The following is a 21386-nucleotide window of genomic DNA, read 5'->3' on the forward strand; positions in this document are numbered from 1 at the left end:
CATACAAAACAATATTGATATAGGCATTCCTTAAGGATTTTGTTTAAATCTGAAATATGTGGTTGTGTGGATAAATATATAGGTATTCTTATTCTTCAGGTTCTCTGTTAGCTGTTTTTCTTTTTTTTCAGTCGCATGAATTTAAATGACATTTGAGTTATATAGAAGTTTGAAATCGATAGAAGCGTTTAGTAATCCTTGAGTGATGTTTTACCAGACAAGTAAATTGAATCTGGTCATTTTTTTCCTCAGAAGATAATAATTGTGATGAAAGAAGGGTTAGAGAATCAATACATGTAAGGTAGCCAACTAGATTGAAAGAGTAATTATTGATTAAAATTTAGCAGTAGATAGCACTTCTCTGAATTCTCTCCTAAGATTAAAGAGAAAATTAGAGTGAAGTGCAGCATGTTTTTAAATAATCTAGTCGCACGAGACATTTTCGCCAGGGTTCTATTCTCTCTGTATTTTGAGAAAACGAGGAGGCATGCAAAATATTTGCCTACCAAATTATTATTAGAGATGAGTCTCCCTGTGTTGCCCAGGCAGGAGCGTGGTGGCTATTCATGGGCATAATCATAGCTCACTGTAATCTCAAATTCCTGGGCTCAAGCGATCCTCCTGCCTCAGCCTCCCAGGTAGCTGGGATTACAGGTACATACCACCATGCCCGGCTCTACTTACTGAATTTTATAAAAATCCTGAAACAAGAATTAAGAAGAGTTTTGACAATTGGCCTTTTTACTTTCCTACATTACTTGTGAACTTTTTCCCATGACTTAGGGAAGGCCACCTTTATATCCAGAAAGAAATCCCACGTTATTGGATATTCTTTTGGTACTACTTGGTTTCTCTACTGGCACATCTCTGTGCCCTTTTGGGTGACGTCTTCTTAGGTAATTTGCAGATTAGAACTTCAGGGTCTTTGGGCTTCTTTAATGTCTTTGGGCTGATCATGAAGTATAGTATTACTATTTATAGTAATGTACTTGTCTAGTGTAAATTAATTTTTAATAATTAACCTGTGCTAGTTAATTTGAAAATAGGTATTGGATTTATCATTAAAGTATTTCATTTTTCAAGTTAACTCCTGGGATGGTTTTATGGTGAGCGGTAAGTAAAGCAGATAGTATTTGCTAGGTACCAAGCTTTGTAGCATTGCACATTTTGTAAACTCGAAGGATGGAAACAATCAGTTTGAAGTTCAATTGTATGTTTGAATAATACTGATGATCTTTTTTTCCTTTGTCATGAAATGTATAGTTTAAAAATGTGTATTTTTACTTTTTGAATAGGTAATGTATTTACATGGTTCTGATTTCAAAATATAGCAAAAAATAGCAATTTAGTTAAAAAATTACTATGTAGGAAAGTTTCCTCTTTATAATGCCTCTGCCTGCCTGCTGTAAACTGACTTTGACTCACATCTTTAAATGATGCCTTTAGATCTGGGTGATCTTTTCGTATCAGAACAAACGTTATGTTTTTGTCTTTTTCACTAGTAAGTAGTGCATCTGTATTGACATTTTTGAGACCCACATTTTGAAACAACTAATGATCCTTGTGAATCTAGATCTGTATTTTAATAATCACACATGTAAGGATTCATATGTATTAGCCTTTCTTTGATGCTCTTCGTGTTCATATTTTGTCAATTTCTGTTTTCTTTGACTAAGGTGTAACGAGTTTAAAAATATTCTACATATTTGTCACTATAATCATGAGGTACAGAGTTAGTTCTTAATCAGTTTTTTCCCCCCAAAATCCATTTAGCAGAAATTAATCAGTTTTTAAAGTACAGCTTCCCCAAAGCAACATGGTATCTCTTGGGAGATGACTAGTTTGGGCCAGATTTTAATTTCCTTTAGGAATTTAGCTCTTAAAAAAATCAATTTATTCACTTGATTTAAAAATTATCAAGGAATTTTCAAATACATTTAAAGCAAAGAGAATACTGTATGAGTCCTTAGATGTGTGATTATTAAAATACAGATCCAGATTCACAGAGATTATAAGCTGTTTCAAAATTCCAGTCTGAAAGGAGTCAATTCGGATTCACTGCTTATTAGTTAAGACAACAATATAACATTTGGTCTGACGTGAAAAGATAAATCGTTAAAAAAAGTACAGAATAGTGCATATTGTACATCATCTTTTCTTTTTAAAGAAAATGAGACTATATGTTCATACATGCTTATATATGTTTAAAGTAACTTTGGAAGGATACAGCAAGAAACCAATAAAAGTGGTTTACCTGAGTTATTAGGAACAAGATTGGAAGGAGACTTTGAGCTCTTTACCTTTTTTCTGAAGTTTATTTGTTGTTCTTGTTGGCTATTTATTTTTAAGAGACAGGGTCTTGCTCTGTCACCTGTGCTGGAGTGCAGTGGTGGGATCACATCTCACTGAACCCTTGAACTCCTAGGCTCAAGTTATCCTTGTTCCTCAGCCTTCCAAGTAGCTGGACCTACAGGCATGTGCCACCATGCCCAGCTTAATTTTTTATTTTTTGTAGTGATGATGTCTCACTGTGTTGCACAGGCTGGTATTGAACTCCTGGCCTCAAGTGATCCTCCCACCTCTGCCTCCCATACTGCTGGGAGGCATGAGCCACCACATCTGGACTTTTTTTTTTTTTTTTTTTTTTTTTTTGGCTTTTTGAACCATGTGAGTACTATATTAACAATGAATTTAAATTTTGTTTAAAAATTTTTTTATTAAAAATTGATTTAAAAAGAAAATATAAAATTTACAACTTAAAAATATAGCACAATAATGGCTATTTTCCCAGGAAAACTTGTAGATTTAGGCTGACGGTCCTTTGTGCCGCAGAAGTTGTGGACTGAAAGGAATGAGAAATGTGCTTTAAAGACTGTCTTCCTATCTTCGCCCCCAAGTGGCCGAGAGCTTATTTTGTTGTAACCTTTTTTTTTTCTTTTTCTTCCCTCTTTTTTTTTCAAAGGCTGGTGGGGTAGCAGGTGTTTCTGTTGACTTGATATTATTTCCTCTGGATACCATTAAAACCAGGCTGCAGAGTCCCCAAGGATTTAGTAAGGCTGGTGGTTTTCATGGAATATATGCTGGCGTTCCTTCTGCTGCTATTGGATCCTTTCCTAATGGTAAAAAATTATATTCTCACTTCTGTAAAGCCAAGATAAGATGGGATTTTCAGAATGGTGTGTGGTCTTACCCCCATAGAATTCCTTGTGTGTTGAAGCTTATCTTCTGAATTTCCTTCTTTAACCTGGTGTCATTATTATTTTTTATTTATTTTAGTCACGGTCTCACTTTGTCGCCCAGGTGGGAATGCAGTGGTGAGATAATAGCTAACTGCAACCTTGACCTCCTGGGCTCAAGAAATCCTCTTGCCTCAGCCCCCTAAGTAGCTGGGACTACAGGCGTGCACCACCATGCCCAGCTAATTTTTGTACTTTTTGTAGAGAATGGGTTTTGCCATGTTGTCTAGGCTGGTCTTGAACTCCTAGGCTCAAGCAATCTGCCCATCTTGGGCTCCCCAAAGTGCTGGGATTATAGTCGGCATGAGCCACTGTGCTGGGCCTAACCCATTATTTTTGAATCAGATAGTGTTATAGATTCCATTTCAATATATTTGTAGTAGGGAAAAAAAAAGCAATCTTTTAAAAATTGTTTCTGTTGTTAAAATTTCCAACTAGAATCCTTAAAGTGTTATTTTAATGCTGTGATTCTTCAGAACAATCATTCTCAACTTTGCCTGCACATTAGAATCTACTGGGAAGCCTTAAAAAATACTGATGTCCTGTGTCATCCTAGAAGTTTAATTGGTCTAGGCTTCGCCTGGGTATTAGGAGTTTTAATAACTTCCAAGGTGACTCCGCTGTGAAGCCAAGTTTGATAATAGCTGCTTTGGAGCATCTTAGAGAGCAGGTGAACCTAAGAGGCATTACACATTTCTATCCTAATTAAATTGCTCTTACATGATGCAAGTGTTTCTCACTAATGTTCTCCTGGATACTGTCCTTCCAATGTCTTTTGTTTTGGTTCTGAAGTCATGTGACTTATGACGCTCTTACTCTTTAGTCAATGTAATCTGTTTTGTTTAATCTGCTTCTTGGTATACTGTTTGCAGATACTTATTTTAATTGTTTACTGTTGGATGCCTCTAGTGGCATTTGAAAGTAAACTAAAGCAACAAAACAAAAAATCACCATATATAAGACACACCCACAAAACCACAGCTCTAGAAGATTCTTAAATTCTGGGGATTGCTTTTGTTTTTCGCAGGATGATTCATGAGAATTTTTTTCTCTTACGTTAACCTGACATTTAAATGTTCATTCTGTGAGCATAGCATTCACATAAAGGTTTGTAGTGCAAAGAGAAAAACAGTATTTCTGTTTCTTTTTTTCTCCTGCCCTTCCCCATCCCCCAGCCATCATTAGAATGGCAAACTGTTTTGGTCATCTTTCGATTTTTGTGTATGTTAATACTCTGAGTAATTGTAACAAGTTGTTAAGTGAGCATCCACTCCATGCCAAGCATAGTTTTAAGTACGTGAGAGGGGCATGGGTTCCCCAATTTGTCCACTTTGGAATCACCTGATTACTGAAGAGCTTAAACAAATACAGTTGACCCTCGAACAATTTGGCAGTTAGGGGTGTCGATCCCCTGTGCAGTCAAAAATCAGAATATAACTTTTGACTCCCCCAAAACTTAACTACTGATAGCCTGCTGCTGTCTTAATGATAGCATAAACAGTTGATTAACACATACTTTGTGTGTTAAGATATGTATTAACACATGTTTATGTGTTTTATTATTATTATTATTATTTTTTGAGATGGAGTCTTGCTGTGTCACCCCCCAGGCTGGAGTGCAGTGGCGCCATCTCTGGTCACTGCAGCCTCCACCTCCTGGGTTCAAGCAATTCTCCTGCTTCAGCCTCCTGAGTAGCTGGGATTACAGGCACACGCCACCACACCTGGCTAATTTTTTTATTTTTAGTAGAGACGGGGTTTCACCATGTTATCCCGACGTCACGTGATCTGCCTGCCTTGGCCTCCCAAAGTGCTGGGATTACAGGTGTGAGCCACTGCGCCTGGCAAATGTTTTATATACTGTATTCTTACAATCAGGTAAGCCAGAGAAAAAATACTAAGAAAATCATAAGGAAGAGAAAACGTATATTCAGTAAGTGGAAGTGGATCATCATAAGGTCTTCATGTTGAGTAGGCTGAGGAGGAGGAGGAAAAAGAGGACTTGGTTTTGGTGTCTCGGGTGGCAGAGGCAGAAGAAGTAGAGGAGGTGGAAGGGGAGGCAAGAGAAGCAGGCTCACATAGTGTAACTTTATGGAAATTTATCATAGTTTCTGTCTCACCTTTTTGCTGTTTCATTTCTCTAAAAATGATTCTTTATGGTACCAATCCTTTCACCATTTGCTTTAGTTTCAATGCCCATATTGTATAGAAGGGTCCTTGTCATAAAGGAAGTCAAAAGCAGTCTTTAATAATCAGAACCTTTCTGCTCGATTGTCTGATGTCATTTTCTTTTCTGGCATTCCTTCTTCTACATCTTCTCCCTTGTCATTTGACACTGGTTTGGAAGCACTCATCTCCACCAAGTTGTCTTCTGTTAATTCCTCTGGTGTGGTGTCTGTTAGCTCTTGAATTTAAGATCTATGTTTTGAAACCCTTCATCCCCAACCTTTTTTTTTTTTTGCCACATCCACAATCTCTTTTATGGTTTTCTTGATTGGCTCTGTCATGAATACTGTGAAGGATTTGCCTACTTCTCTTCTTACTGATAAATGTCCTTGGTGACATTTTTCTTTTCCCAGAACAGGGCACTCTCATCTACATTAGAAATCTATTCAGGCAGATGTCCTTTCTGCTCAATAATTTACTTAATGGCAGCTGGGAACTTGTTTACTGACTCATGGATGGCAGAAGCTGCTTCTCCTGTTATCTTGACATTTTAAAGCCAAATCTTTTTCTAAAATTATCAAACCATCCTTGGCTGGCATTAACTTCTTCAGCTTTAGATCTTTCACCTTCCTTTTGTTTGATCTTGTCATGAAATGACTTTGCTGTTTCTCAAATCATTTTAGAGACAGTAAGTATGCCTTTATTATAGCAACCCTTTACCCACATGAAAGCTGCATTTTCAAAACAAGAAAAAAGGTACTTTGCAGGAAGTGTGAAGTTTTCATGCCTGCTGGCATAGCTGCAGCGATGGGTTAATGAGTTTCCTTTCTTTCTTTTTTTTTTTTTTTTTTTTTTTTAACAGTGGATTAAGCTGGATTCATTCATCTTGAAATGGCTGGCAGCCACAGCTTCAGGTTTCAGTCTGTGGTACCTAACAAGCAATTTGACTCTCTCTTGTAATGTCATGACTCCTTTCTGCTTCTTAGGAGCTTTCTTGAAATGTCATCACTTCCAGCATCACTAGTGGCACTTCATCTGGGTCCTGTGGTGTTATTCAAAGTTTGTGGTATGGCACTAACCACGACAAAAAATACATAAGAACTGGGAGAGATCCTTTTGCTCTGTGATAGGCAATTTATTGCGGCCATGAACTGCTCCTGTGGAGATAATTAGTGTCACGTGGCATTTTAAGTGGATACTCCGCAACACCTGAACTCACTATAATAGCAAGAGGAGGTGGCAAAGAGGTTACTACAGTAGTATAGTATGTGCTACAGTTAATTTTGTGCAGTTATGATTTAACACTATACATTTTTTTCCCCCTGAGACCAGGTCTCACTCCGTTGCCCAGACTGGAGTGCAGTGGCATGACGTTGGCCCACTGCAACCTCAACCTCCCAGGCTCAGGTGATCCTCCCACCTCAGTCCCAAGTAGCTGGGATTACAGGTGTGGGCAACCACACCTGGCTAATTATTTATTTTTTTGTAGAGATGGACTTTCTCCATGTTGTCCAGTCTGGTCTTGAACTCCTGAGCTTAAGCCTCAGCCTCCCAAAGTGCTGGGATTACTGATGTGGGCCACTGTGCCTGGCCCATCTTTACATTTGTTTACATTTCTCTTAACTATGAATGATGTGCTATATGGTTTGTGTTTGTAAGTTTTGATGAATTTTAACTTTTTATATTTTATGTTAGTAAATGATAAAATAGGCTAGTATCTAAATATATTTTATGTATTCATGACAGGGCTAGCCTTTTCTTTTCTTTTTTTTTTTTTTTTGAGACAGAGTCTCACTCTTTCACCCAGGCTGGAGTGCAGTGGTGCGATCTTGGCTCACTGCAAGCTCCGCCTCCTGGGTTCATGCCATTCTCCTGCCTCAGCCTCCTGAGTAGCTGGGACTACAGGCACCCGCCACCACACCCGGCTAATTTTTTTGTATTTTTAGTAGAGACGGGGTTTCACTGTGTTAGCCAAGGATGGTCTCGATCTCCTGACCTCGTGATCCACCTGCCTCGTCCTCCCAAAGTGCTGGGAATACAGGCGTGAGCCACCGTACCTGGCCACCTTTTCTTAATTTTTTGGTATTTCTAGGCTATGTGGTTCATCTATAAGTTTGTTCAAATTATCACGAATCTCCAAAAATTTTTCCAGTATATTTATTGAAAAAAAGCCATGTGTAAGTGGACCTGTGCGTTTAAACCCGTGTTCAAGGATCACCTGTACTGCTGCTTGTCACCCAACCCTACACATTGTGACTTAATTGGTCTGAGGTGTGGATTGGGCATTGGATGTTATAAAAAAAATCCCAGGATGATTCTTAAATTCAGACAAGTTTGAGAACCTCTGAACTAGGGAATTGCAAAGAAACATGTCACAAAGTCCCTATCTTTTGGTCACCATTTTTTATGGTGTCTCTACACTCATTCTTCTAAAGATCCTTTTATCTTACATATTGCATAGAAAGATTATTTTGGGAAGATGTACAATTAGCTGTAGTGCGTAGGTTACATAGTGATGTCATTAAGATCACAGGTTTTACATTCTTCCCTCGGGAGTTTACATATATAATGTGGTTTTGAATTATTAGTATTATTTTTGCCATCCATGAAACTTCAGTGAATGGGAGATGCTAGGGAAAAGTCAGAGTACCAGGGTTCAAAAATAGCCTTGTTTTACTGCCAAGTTTGAAAGAATTGGACTTTTGTGTGTGGTGTCTTTTTTCTTTTGCTATTGGTTACGGTTTTAATCTAAGTACAGAACTTCACTGTAGTTGATCATCAGTGGATGTGGATGTTTTTGTAAACCTATGCTGCAGGAGTGAGGGGTTGGGGTGGGGCTAGAGGGAAACAAAGATGGAAAGAGGTGAAGAGAAGACCATGTTTAGGAGCCTTAGTCCCTATTTTGAAGGGAATGTAGAGAAAGCATAGCTTTTTTTTTTTTTAAAGAGCCAGAAGGAACTATAGGCATCAGCTAGCCCAGCCCCTATTCTTTGCTTTAACTTGTTCAGCCCCCAACTTGGAACCTGACTGTACTGACATTTGCAGTTAGTAGAGGCCTTCTTGGATGCCACCTGGAGGGTGGAGGGAGGTTTGGAACTTATATTCTTAAAGAACCTTTTATGTTACAAAAGAAGCCATAAAGTCAGATGAAGTTGAGGTGGTTAACCATGAAATGGAGGAAGTTTTACCACTGTCTCTCTCCCTTTTCTTGGGGGTTAGGAGGGTAGGATGTAGAGTGGCAGAACTTAACAGCTGAATGCAATTAGAGGTATTATAGCTGCACATTTATTAAGTGGGCTGAAGTGGGAAAAATCACATGAAGAAACACAAATGGGAATAGACTTGTGTTAACCAGGTAAAACTACCTGAACTGGTCATTATTCATTCATGGACAGAGTGCCTCTTCATTTAGCCTAGTGTATATTTGTTAGCACGTGAAGATCCTTTACAAGCTTTTGTTGACTTTGGAGAACTGATTTTCACCATCAAGCTGTTTTCCTTAGTGTTTCAGAGTTAGTGACATGTTCAGATGCCCTTCAGAAGATGAATTTGTCATTCCTTTATCTCTTGTGCCTTATCTTTTATCCAACTGATAAACATTTTTTGGTTAACAGTACATAGAAAGTTTTAAAGCCGTCATATGCAGCTATGATTAGTTCATTGTGATAGGGGTAGCTTTTTAGAGGTTTTTAGAGATTTTAATTAAATGGCTGATTGTTTTCTTGATGTAAAAGTGAATTCATGCAGTAAAAAATAGCCATGATTATTTTGAGTAACCAGTAATAAAACATTATAGAATAGACATTTTCTTTAAAGTATGTTTGCAATTTTAACCTGTTTATTCATCAATGTAGTTGATTGTTTTATGGCCATCCATAATGATATTTTGGATCACAGAAATTCATATCCTTTTCTAAAGTTGACTTTAAAAATGTATAAGTAATTTGTCAGTACAACACGGTAAGTGCTAGATTAGCACTTGTGCTCCTTCAGGGTAGGTGTTATATTTTCTGCATTTTTGTAAGTCTAAGATCAGGCATATACCATGGCGTCAGTAAACTCTGAAAGAGTGGGGGTAGGAAGAAAAGATATGTGCTTATCACCTTTTCTCTTATCTCATAATTTAATAATTATTGTCATACTTTTTGAGAAACATGTTTCTTAACAGTGTGAATATATGTTTAAACTTTGTGAAAGACTGGCTTGTTTTAAATTTCAGCTGCTGCATTTTTTATCACCTATGAATATGTGAAGTGGTTTTTGCATGCTGATTCATCTTCATATTTGACACCTATGAAACATATGTTGGCTGCCTCTGCTGGAGAAGTGGTAAGTAACAAGTTTTGTGTATAAAATACTTCAGAAATGCACATCATGCATATATTTTCAGTACATATTTATTTCATTTTTTAAAAATTATTTTTAAATTATGAAAGTCATAAATGGCAATAAATGTAAATGGATTAAATATGACAGTTCGAAGATAGAGCCTGACAACTAAAAGACAGAGCCTTATATAGGACAGAAGAAGAATTCTAGCTATGTGTAATTTACAAGAGACAGATGTAAAACATAATTATATGGAAAAAAGACAAAGAGTGGAAGAAAATATCCATTCGAATTGTGACAGCTTTGTATTGTGTCGGTACAACTGAGCTGGAACTACTTTTCCGAGAATTTCCTTTCCGAAATAGTTTCAGTTTGGGTCAGCCACAAGAGAAATTTGCATGTTCTTTGTAAGGTAGAAGTGAAGAGCTGTATTTCTGCTCAGAAGGTTGGTATATGGTCAGGCACTGTTGCAGCTCACACACCCTGTCACTGACTTGGCTGTATCACCATGTTGACGTTTGGCTTCCAGCTCCTCCAGCTCCCACTGGTTCTTTTCCATCAGCTTCTCCAAATTCTAGGTCAGATTTGTGGGCTCTGTCATGAAGGGTGCCAGCTTATACTGCAAATTCTCTGTCACAGATTGGTGAGAAATAAATGTGACTTCCAGTCTGTCCTTGTTCTTCCCCAACTTCACATCCATCTTTCCTTCCCTGTTGCCTGCCCTTTGATTTCTATCCCAACACTAGATGGAGAAGCAACAGCCCTATACAAACTGCTTAATTAGCTCCCATAATTACTGGTCAAATCTCTATAATCCTTATCACTCATAGTGGTTTTGCTTCTGTGATGAAACCCTAATACTAATTGAAAAATAGTTTGTGGAATAATATTAATATTAGGAAAAAATACGTAAGGCAAAAAACAAAGAGACCAGTGCACAATGATACTGGAACAGTTCTTTCAGGAGATGTAACAAGCCCGAACCTGCACTGAATAACATAGTCTCAAAACATATAAAGCAAAAACTGACAGAATTTTATGGAGAAATGAAGAAAACTGTAGTCTTAGTTGGAGATAGTCACATCTCTCTCTCGAAGTAGGCATAAACTTACTAAGGCCATAGAAGATTTGAACAACACAATGACAAGATTGGTCTGTTGATACATGTAAAACTTTGCACCCAACAAGTAAAGAAGATAGACTTTTTCAAGCATAATTGGAACTTAATAACAATAGCCCACAGGGCCAGTTTTAGTGAATACTGCAGAGACATTGTCATTACAGATCATTAGTTGTGTCATTATAATGAAGTAAAATTGGCAACAGTGACAAAAAATAGGCAGTCTGTTCCTACCATGTGTTTAAAAACCAAACTCTTGGCCGGGCACGGTGGCTCACGCCTGTAATCCCAGCACTTTGGGAGGTCAAGGTGGGTGGATCATGAGGTCAGGAGATCGAGAGCATCCTGGCTAACACCGTGAAACCCCGTCTCTACTGAAAATACAAAAAAAAAAATTAGCCGGGTGTGGTGGTGGGTGCCTGTAGTCCCAGCTACTTGGGAGGCTGAGGCAGGAGAATGGCATGAACCCGGGAGGCAGAGCTTGCAGTGAGCCGAGATCAAGCCGCTGCACTCCAGCCTAGGCGACAGAGCGAGACTCTGTCTCAAAAAAACAAAAAACAAACAAAAAACTCTTTTGTAAATAATTTCAGTCAAAGTAGAACACAGTACTGTAAGTGGTAAGTGTAAGTGATATTTATTTTTTGTTTCTATTTTTGAAGAGATGGGGGTCTCTTTATGTTTTCCAGACTGGTCTCGAACTCCTGGTCTCATGTAGTCCTCCTGACTCAGCCTCCCAAAGTACTGGGATCATAGGCATGACCCACTGTGCCTGGCCAAAATTGATATTTTAAACCGAAATCGTAAACACAGTTATGATTAAAAAAAAAAAAAAAAACAAAACCTCAAAACTAATGCAGAGGAGAAATGTATAATACAAATAAAAGTTTCTTCATTCCCCTCATTAACTTATCTTTCTCCCTACCCCTTCTGCACAATGCTGAGGGACAGCCTTTTATGTTGCTTATTAGTGTTATTTTCAAATCACACAGCCTGGTATTCATGCAGTCTTATTAAACCCCCATCCTTGTGATGGGCATAATAGAAATGGACAACACAGTGAAGATAAAGGTCTTAAGTTTGTAAGCCTTTTATCAAATCACACTTTTCTTTGTAATTAGAAAAGTAATGGCATATGTTTACATAGGAAACTTGGGAAATGAATTAACCTTTATAACATTTACATTAAAAATTGTGTTATATTGTGAATTTGTTTTTGATGCACTTTTTTTCTTTAGGAAGTTTGAACAAGAATCTACAAACTGTTTAGTAACCTAATATTCCTTGTTTAAGAATAAGTGAACTGGGGATATGGAAAGAGAGGTAACACAAAAGTAAAAGTTAACATGAAGAAGATTTTTTTTTAAAGAAACCAGCTTTATTGAGATACAGTTCACATACCATACAGTTCACCCCTTTAAAGTGTACAATTCAGTGGTTTACACCATATTCACAGAGTTGTACAACCTTTGCCAGCGTCCATTTTAAAACATCTCTCCCCAAAGGAAGCTCTTACCCATTGCAGTCACAATCCCCATTTCACCCCAACCCTCCCCACTCCTAGGCAACCACTGGTCTACTTTCTATCTCTATGAATTTGCCTATTTTGGACATTTGATATAAATGGAATCCTACAATATGTGGTCTTTTGTTACTGACTTTTTTCAGCTAGTGTAGTGTTTTCCAGGTTCATCCGTGTTGTAGCATCTGTTAGTAGTTGGTTTCTTTTTAAAATTAATTTAGGTGATTATGTCCTGACACACAGTCTCGTTACATGCAGTTAGTCTGGAGTATGTATACTTACATTTGTTGGTACATTGTTGAGAGCAAGCAACAAAAAAAGAACCTGGCCACTTCATTTCACCTGGGGCCATCTTGCCTGAAAGTTATTTTGCCATGTTGAAGGGCAGGCTTTCCTCAGTTTATAAACTTTCAGTCCAAAAAAATAGAAAGTGATATAATAGGTAGGGCATATAGTAGCTATTAGATTTCTCATGTTAATCATACATCTTTTTATTTGTAGAAAGTCGTTTATATTCTGATGCTCCTAGTATCTGTAACTAATATTTTTAAAAAATTGGAGCCTTGGAAAAGGCTCTAAGTTTCTAAGATTTACAAATATTATGTCATAACATTTGATATGTGGACTGTTAGGCATGGGAGGTGGGGTAGGTAGATTTTAGAATTAGGAAACAAGTATCCATGAGACTGGAGATACAACAGATAAGGACATTCTTACCTACATTGTGTCTTTTGGGGGTTCTGTGGTCCCTGAGCTGGTAAGGCCAATTATCAAACACCTATTTATAGTTGCTATGGAGCTGGGCTCTTGGTAATTTGCCCATGTTGGCTTCAGACTCTTGGCCTCAAGAGATCCTCAGTAGCTGAGACTACTGGTGTGCGCCACCAGGCCTGGCAATTCCTAGAGAATCTTTGTTTTTATTTTGTTTAAGACGGAGTCTTGCTCTTTCGCCCATGCTGGAGTGCAGTGGCGCGATCTCGGCTCACTGCAACCTCTGCCTCCCAGGTTCACGCCATTCTCTTGCCTCAGCCTCCCGAGTCGCTGGGACTACAGGCACCCGCCACCACACCCGGCTAATTTTTTTTTGTATTTTTAGTAGAGACGGGGTTTCACCATGTTAGCCAGGATGGTCTTGATCTCCTGACTTCGTGATCCGCCCACCTCAGCCTCCTAAAGTGCTGGGATTACAGGTGTCAGCCACCGCGCCAGGCCCCTAGAGAATCTTAAGAGGACAATTGGTCAGCAGTGGGTACATAGATTTAGGACTTTACACATGAAATACTTCTTGATGTTGGCTATTTAAATATAAATATAAATATATATATATATGCACACACACACACAAATGCACACACACATATTTACAAATGAATGAATGATGGGGTCTCACTCTGTCAACCAGGCTGAAGAGCAGTGATGTGGTCATAGCTGCTGTAGCCTGTAACTTCTGGGCTCACGTGATCCTCTCACTTTAGCCTCCTGAGTAGCTGGGACTGTAGGCAGGTGCCACTATGCCTGGCTAATTTTTTAAAACAATTTTGTAAAGATGGGGTCTTACTATGTTGCCCAGGCTAGTCTTGAACTCCTGGCTTCAAGCAGTTCTTCCACTGTGGCCTTCCAAAGTGCTGTAATCCAGACATGAGACACTGCACCCTGCCAATATTGACCTTAAATGGACTTTAAATTCAGTTATGGTTTAGTATGCTGAGAAGTTTGCCAAATTTATGAAGTTTGTGGAAATATTGGTTCTGATGCTCTAATAATCTTTGATCTTAAACTTCCTGAAGCCATTCAGTATGAATTTTCTCAATAAATGCTTATATACATATTACGCCTTTCTTTTTTTAGTAACCTGTTTTAGTCTCATAGAAGATAAACTTTTGATTTCAGATTCATGGAAGTATGGTTGCCAAGATTAAGAGAAACCAACAGGTGAATTTAGAGGACATAAATTTTCATTTGTAAAATAAAAAGAAATAGGAATAGAAAACATTTATAGCTGTCAATGGTCAGAAAGGTATAGTAACCTAGAGATTATAAGAAATACTTTAGTGCAATCATTATTCTGTAACACATTTGCTTTGATAGATTATTATGTTAGACAGATTGGTTAGAAACAATAACATATTTTGTTTGTGTTGAATATAGCCACAGTTACTTTCTTGTAGCAACTATTAAGGAAACTTAGAAACAAAAGAACAGTGCCAAAATAATAACCATTCCCTGTAGCAACAGCTTGATTAAAACTTAATGATGAATCAGTGAAACTATAATTACAACCTTCTACCTTATGTTTGCAATTTAGAATACAGTAAAATCAGTCAAATAAGATTTAACATGTAACAATAGCAAGAGGGGTCCTGCTTGTGCCGTTTTTATTAGGAAGATTGCTGTGCCAAATCTCTAAATCTCTACCTCAATAATTTTCCAGCTCAGTTTTCATCACACACAGAAAAAGCCCTTTGGGAAGTAGAATCTGTAATTAGATCAAAGGTTGGGGCAGGTTTACTTTAACGGTACATATGCTATAACATTCTAATGGTAGTGATTTTCTTTTCTTCAAAGGTTTTAAGATTTGACGTGTTGTATCTTATCCTACTTTTGTCTTTATTCATATTGTCAGAAATGAAAAAAACATTGAAATTTCTTCACCCTTGAAAGCAGCAACACTGTGAATGTAATGTATGTTCATAGGTGACATGTACATGTCCTCATACACTTAGATGCTGGTAGAGTGTCCTTTTCAAGTGTCCTTTATGGTCCTGTTCTGACTTGGGATTGAAAAAGCTAGGAAATAAATGATATCATGTTTTGTAAATGTTTTTCTGACAGCCTCTAACAGTACTTCCCCAAGAAGGCCCGATGAGCATCTCCCCATACTTCACCATCAGTTGCGTAGGTAGCTAGTTACAAATGGGGATTTTTGGAGATGACACTAGGGTTCCTGTATTTTAAACACAATCTCTAGATGATTGTGCAACTCACCAATATTTAATGCCACTGATCTAGGCACATAAAACATCTGAACTTACACCCCAGTAGTAAATATTTTTACTGAATTGGCTCAGTAATTCCCTACATAATATTTTAGTAGGTGCACAACACTGGGTGTGGTGTACCACTTGTAGATCAAATGTGTTATTCTTTCTGTTCTCCTCAAAATGACATATTTTAGACCTAAAAAGGCTAGTTTAATAAACTGGTTATTTTTGAGTGTGACAATGAACTCAGACATGTAGATTTGGATTTAACTGGAGTTAGAATGAGGTTTTCTCCAAGGCCCATGCTGTCATAGAGCCTCGTAGGCAAAGGCAGCTTGTTTTATGGTTTAGCTCCTTTAGTAACTGACAAGGCCGTTGGACCCCCTTTGTACCACAGTCCATTCCAGGGTCTCCTTTGGTATCAGCATATGGGGCAAACATGTTCTTATTCAGCTTTCCCACTGGTTAAAGGATTGGACGCATAGATGCTGTGTGGTGTTTTTCAGCTCCAGAGCATGGTGCACATTTTACTGAGTTTTTCCCTAGTTGTGGCTTAAGCTGTTTTGTTTATCTACTTAATATCATGCTTTAAAAATGAGTACGTAGTATTCTTCATGATCTTCACTGGCCTTTTCTAAGAAGAACCACTGAGCAAGATAATAGAAGAAAGGTTGACAACTTTTGAAATGTATTTTATCTTTTGAATTAATCATGCTTTTGAAATATTCATCGATCAATACAGATTATCTCTCCCTTGCAGCTGGAATATTTTGCCACATCTCTGCACAGTTGTATAAGTGAGTCGTGGGGGATAGGTGAAGTAGAAGATAACATGGCTGCCCTGAGCCACAGTGAAATGTAGCTGATGATGGCAATTGCTTGTATATAAAGATGAATGAAGGTTCATCAATAGTGTATGACTATTACCAGGAAACACAGAAGCTGAAACAGAACTGTCAGATACCTGAGTGCACTCAAACAAACACTTTTTTTGTGTGATGTGTCTAAGCACATCCATGTATTATGGGACCTTTCACCCTATTTTCCTGTCTGTTGACTTTTTCAAAGTGTGTCTGGGAGTCTTCCTTCAGGGCATTAAATACATAAGGCAGGCAGACTTTTAAATTCCTTCTTAGCAACCCTAAACCATAAGAATTACACAAAAAATTATCTCAACCATATAAAAAGCAGTTTGTTTTCCAGACTCCTTTTATTTTGTATTATTTCCTCACTTGTACATCTTTGATTCTTTTTTGTAATAGGTTGCTTTTGTTCAGCTCATCTTAGATTCCTTCACCACTTCTATGGTCCTTACCTAGTGATGTGGATTTAGATCTGAAGTTCCTAATACGTTCCAGGCATTGAGGATGAAATGACAGGATAAGATACTGCCTTTTAGAGGCTTGCTGTAAGTGCACTAAAGTGTTACAGGCATTTTTAAGAAAAGGAACTATAGACGGTCCGTGACTTACGATGGTTCTACTTAAATGACTTTACAATGGTGCAAGAGTGAGATGCATTCAGTAGAAACTGTATTTCAGATTTTGCATTTTGATCTTTTCCGGGCTAGTGATAGGTGATAAGATGCTCTCTGGCAATGGTGGGCAGTGCATGTCCCAGTCAGCTGTGCTGGTGTAAGTATTCTGAGCAATTTTAGGGAGGCAAGGCTAAAGCAATGATGTTCCGTAGGTTGGGGGGTATCACATGCGTTTTCAACTTATGATGGGTTTATTGGGACATAACCCTGTCATAAATTGAGGGTCATCTGTACAAGGTAGAGTGAGAGACTGAAGGGAAGGAGGGGTTGGTTTTCTCCGGACTGGGGTAGATGGATGGGTGTTAATTCAGAAAAAGCCTCACAGAATAGCCAGGCTTTAAGCTGCATTTAATTTAATTCATTAAAAAAATTGTGCATCTATTTAAGGTATCAACACAATGTGGGATACGTATAGATAGTAAAATGGTTGCCACAGTGAAGTAAGTCAACATATCCATCATTTAACATAATTAGTCTTTTTGTTTTGTGTTTGTGGCAGGGCAGCTAAAATCTGATTTAGCAGGAGTCTCAGTTATAGTACAATTTTATTATCTTGCATTTAGAATAGGATGGTTTGTTAGGTGGGTGGGTGCAAGGAGGGGTGTTAGAGTTCTGAAAAGACCTTGTTAGGTAGTTTTAAGTTCCATATGTTTGGAGCACAGTATGATAGGGTCACCCTGAGGCGAAGCAGGGGCTGAGAGCTATAGGGCCTTGCCTGCTATAGTAAGGAGTTGGGACTTTTTTGATCAGACTTGTAATTTTAAGAAAGTCCCCTGGCAGCTGTGTGGAGATAAGGAGACTATTAAAGGAATCCCCAGGAGAGAACCACAGCTGGGGCAGAGGGATGCAGAGGGAGAGAGTGAGTTCAAGAGATGTTAAAGAGGTAGAGCTGGTGGAAAGATGATCATTCTTTCAGGAGCCCTTCCAGCGACATCCTTCAGTGCGTTTTTCATCATGGATGCCTTTTAGTTTGTTGTGTCTATGTGTGTTGTGCACCTACTTGAATTCTCCAATGGAGTCTACCGAGCTAAGTTGAATAAGCATGCCCCATCTTGCCAGTGGGCCCAGCCATCTGAGTCTGAGCTAACACGCAGAGAGGGAAAGAAGACGAAAGAGAGAGAGGGTCAGAACGGGAGGGTCAGGGCTTCCCCTGGCTTGGCATTATCTGTGTGTGGTTATGACCTTGCTTGTAGTTATTCATCTATAGTACAGGCATGAATGTGCTGAAGAGATTTATCAGTGAGGCCTGTAGAAAGGAACATTGTACCCCATCTGCATCCTCACCCCCAGTTTCTCGATGAGTTCCTTTTCTAACATATTTCAGATTGTTTTCTGTTGTATGGATTTTCTTTTTCTAATATAGTATGCAGTGTTAGTTCAGATGGTATTGATTCATGACCTGGGAGAGTATATTTCATTGATTTTTTTATTTAGTTAGTGGACAAAAAGGAAGGGAAGCTCTGTTAACTTTTTATTTAAGAGCTGCATGAGTTTATAGAACACAATTAAGTTGAGCTTTATAGGCACAGTATGATTTTCATATAGGTTGATGAAGTTGAAGAAACGATTCTGAGCCACAGGAGTGTAACTTGGTCAGTTATTGCCACTGCATTGTAAATGGAAAGACTGAATACTACTCTCAAAGGACCAAAATACCAAAGGAGGTTAGGATTGGCCACTTCCAAGCGAGCCTGAACTCTGTCAGTGACAAACCTTTATTTCCTAAAATATTGCCTTGTTAAGATTAGGGTTCTTGAATTAAATGCAACTGTCACTTATTTGCTTTGGTTTGTGATTGTGTGCTTTTCAATATTTGAGTTGTATAGCTAATACTATTAATAGGTGCTAAGAGACACCGAATAAGAAATTTGATCCCCGTTTTTGAGGAGCATATAAGTAAGTTGGATCCATCTGTTAAATAACTAGGGAGTATTTGAGGATGTCTGTAGGGAGGTAGCAAGGTATGGACCATGGGCTGTCAAGTTACACAGATCGGGGTCAGATTTGTGACTTGTCCACTTATTTGTCTGTAGGCCATTTACTTGCCTTCACTGAAATGCTCTTTTCCTCATCTTGAAAAAATAGGATTAATGCCATCCCAGTCACAGTTCTTACAAGGATGAAATTATACAGCACTTAACAAAGTGTCCAGCCTAGCATCTGACACACAAAATATTGAATAAACATTGGGTCTAGCCCCATTTCACACAAGTTGCTGAATGCGGCACGTTTTTAGAATTTCCTAGTTTTGGGAAAGGTATCTATTCAGAAGGTGAAAAAATTGAAATTCAAAGAAGTTTAGTGATGTGCTCCAAGTTTCCCAGCTATTATTATTCCCAGCTAATAATAAAACACCACTGTAGAATAAGTAATTAGATAAATATTTCTCTGTATACTTCCAGGAGCACCTCTGTTTTCTTTTTCATGTAGTATTTAAAAAATGGCAGAAGTAGCGGTAAGTATACTACTTGTGCAGTAAGGATTCACATCACTGGTTTCTTAAAAGGTCAGGTTCCAAAATTTGCCGTTGGTTACTGTGATAGGCAAAATAATGCCCCCCCCCCCCCATAAATATGTCCTAGTCCCCAAATCTCTGAATGTGTTTCTTCACACGGGAAAGAGATTTGGCAGATAATATTAAGAATGTTGAGATGGGGGCCGGGCGCAGTGGCTCATGCCTGTAATCCCAGCACTTTGGGAGGCTAAGGCGGGCGGATCGTGAGGTCAGGAGATCAAGACCGTCCTGGCTAACACGGTGAAAGCTTGTCTCTAAAAAAAAAAGCAAAAAAAAGTTAGTCGGGCATGGTGGTGGACGCCTGTAGTCCCAGCTACTCGGGAGGCTGAGGCAGGAGAATGGGGTGAACTTGGGAGGTGGAGCTTGCAGATCGCGCCACTGCACTCCAGCCTGGGTGACAGAGTGAGACTCCATCTCAAAAAAAAAAAAAAAATGTTGAGGTGGAAAGAGTTTTCTGGATTATCCACGTGGGCCCAGTCTAATCAGTAGGGTCCTTAGGAGAGGGGAGCGGGGGTCAGAGAGCTGAAGATGGTATACTGCTGGTCCAAAGATAGAGCGAGGGGCCACAAACCAAGGAGTGCAGGGGAGCCCTAGAAAGCAGGAAGTCAACATTCCCTTGCAGCTTCCAGAAGGCATACTGCCTGACTGACATCTCTCGGTCTTAGCTCAGGAAGACCCATTTTGGAATTCATACCTTCAGAATTATAGATAATAAGCTTATGTTTTAAGCCACTAAATGTGTGGTGATTTGTCAGAGCAGCAGTAGGAAGCAAATACAGTCACCATTGCCACCTCCTCAACGTTCAGATTTTTGTATTGGTGGGAATCTATAAATCCATCCATGGGATGTTTGTCACCTCCTGTGAAATCATGGCTCATTTCTGTTATGGAAAAATACAAAAGCAAAAAAGCCATTTGAGGCTTATCTTTTGGGTTGTATAAAATTCTGTGAACAAATTGTAGACACAGGGACTAAGTGTTGATAGAGTTATTTTCTTTGAGAAGACTTCCTTGTGTAGTCTGTATTACCCGTGACAGCAGTCTTGTCAGGCGAGGGAAGACTAATACCTACAACGATTGAACTTATTTGCGTGATTGGAAAGAGTCTTATAAGGGGGAAAGGTTTGATGAACATAGGTCCCAATGCAAGTAGGTAAAAATTAAAATCTAAGGAGTGTAAGTTAGGATTTGTAAATTGGTTTTGTCAACAGCTGTAATTCCATTTATCAACAGAAGATGGCAGACTTGACACACAAATGAACTGTTGTAGAGGTTTTTGATTTTTTAAATGATGGTATAGAAAGAGATGTAAAATATTCTTAATTGGAAACCTGCTTTCTAAAGAGAATTTTGGGAATTACAAAGAGAATGTGGAAATGAAATACACGTAAGCAAATTGCATTTCAAAAATCTTCATAGTTTCCAGGGGTCTCTCCCTGACCCCCTGTCTTACTAATTTGCCACTTTGAGTTTGCTCTGGAAAGTCCAAAGCAGCTTTTGCTTTGAATACGATGAAGCTTTGAGTGGCTCTGTTCAGTGTATTGTTAAATTTCTGTTGAATTGGTTATAGAGTTGCCTGTTGAAACATGAAGCATTAGCTGAAATTAAACCTTGAACCTCTAAGTGCATTAGATGTGTGTAAGTATGACATCTTTATTGAAAAATAATTCTGGAGATGATAGTCAGAACACTTGGGTTTCACCCATGCTTCCTGAGCTAAGTAGCTCTCTGACCTTCAGCAACTTCTATGATCTCAGATTGATTTATATATAAAATGGTGACATAATTAGCTTCTAATATCAGAGGAATATTTGCAGGTAGTTGATGGAGTTTCTTGGAGAAAAATCTTAAATCAGAATTTTTTTTGTGAACTATGTTGAAATAGTTGCGAAGAAGATGTAATGTTAATAAAAGGTATTATTGGGGATACTTAGGGACTTTGAAGAGCATTTCCAGAACTAGAGGACAGGGTGCAGTTGTAAA

General features: G+C 38.4%; 1 protein-coding gene across 26 annotated transcripts in view; it reads left to right on the top strand.

Annotated features, from left to right (window-relative positions):
* SLC25A26 (solute carrier family 25 member 26) overlaps positions 1-21386 on the top strand; it is a 245318-nt gene that overhangs the window by 99972 nt on the left and 123960 nt on the right. For 16 of the 26 annotated variants that reach the window (XR_007095631.1, NR_174572.1, NR_174575.1 and 13 more), the window contains 2 exons: positions 2963-3119; positions 9622-9731. Coding sequence is in view for 10 of the 26 variants with exons in the window: in NM_173471.4 (NP_775742.4) it covers positions 2963-3119; positions 9622-9731 (267 nt within the window). In the remaining 16 variants the exon portion in view is untranslated. The remainder of the gene's footprint in view (positions 1-2962; positions 3120-9621; positions 9732-21386) is intronic. The other 10 variants (NR_028475.1, NR_174578.1, NR_174574.1 and 7 more) reach the window with 1 other exon arrangement.

Source organism: Homo sapiens, chromosome 3, assembly GCF_000001405.40.
Source record: "Homo sapiens chromosome 3, GRCh38.p14 Primary Assembly".
In the NCBI taxonomy this organism is placed as follows: domain Eukaryota; kingdom Metazoa; phylum Chordata; class Mammalia; order Primates; family Hominidae; genus Homo; species Homo sapiens.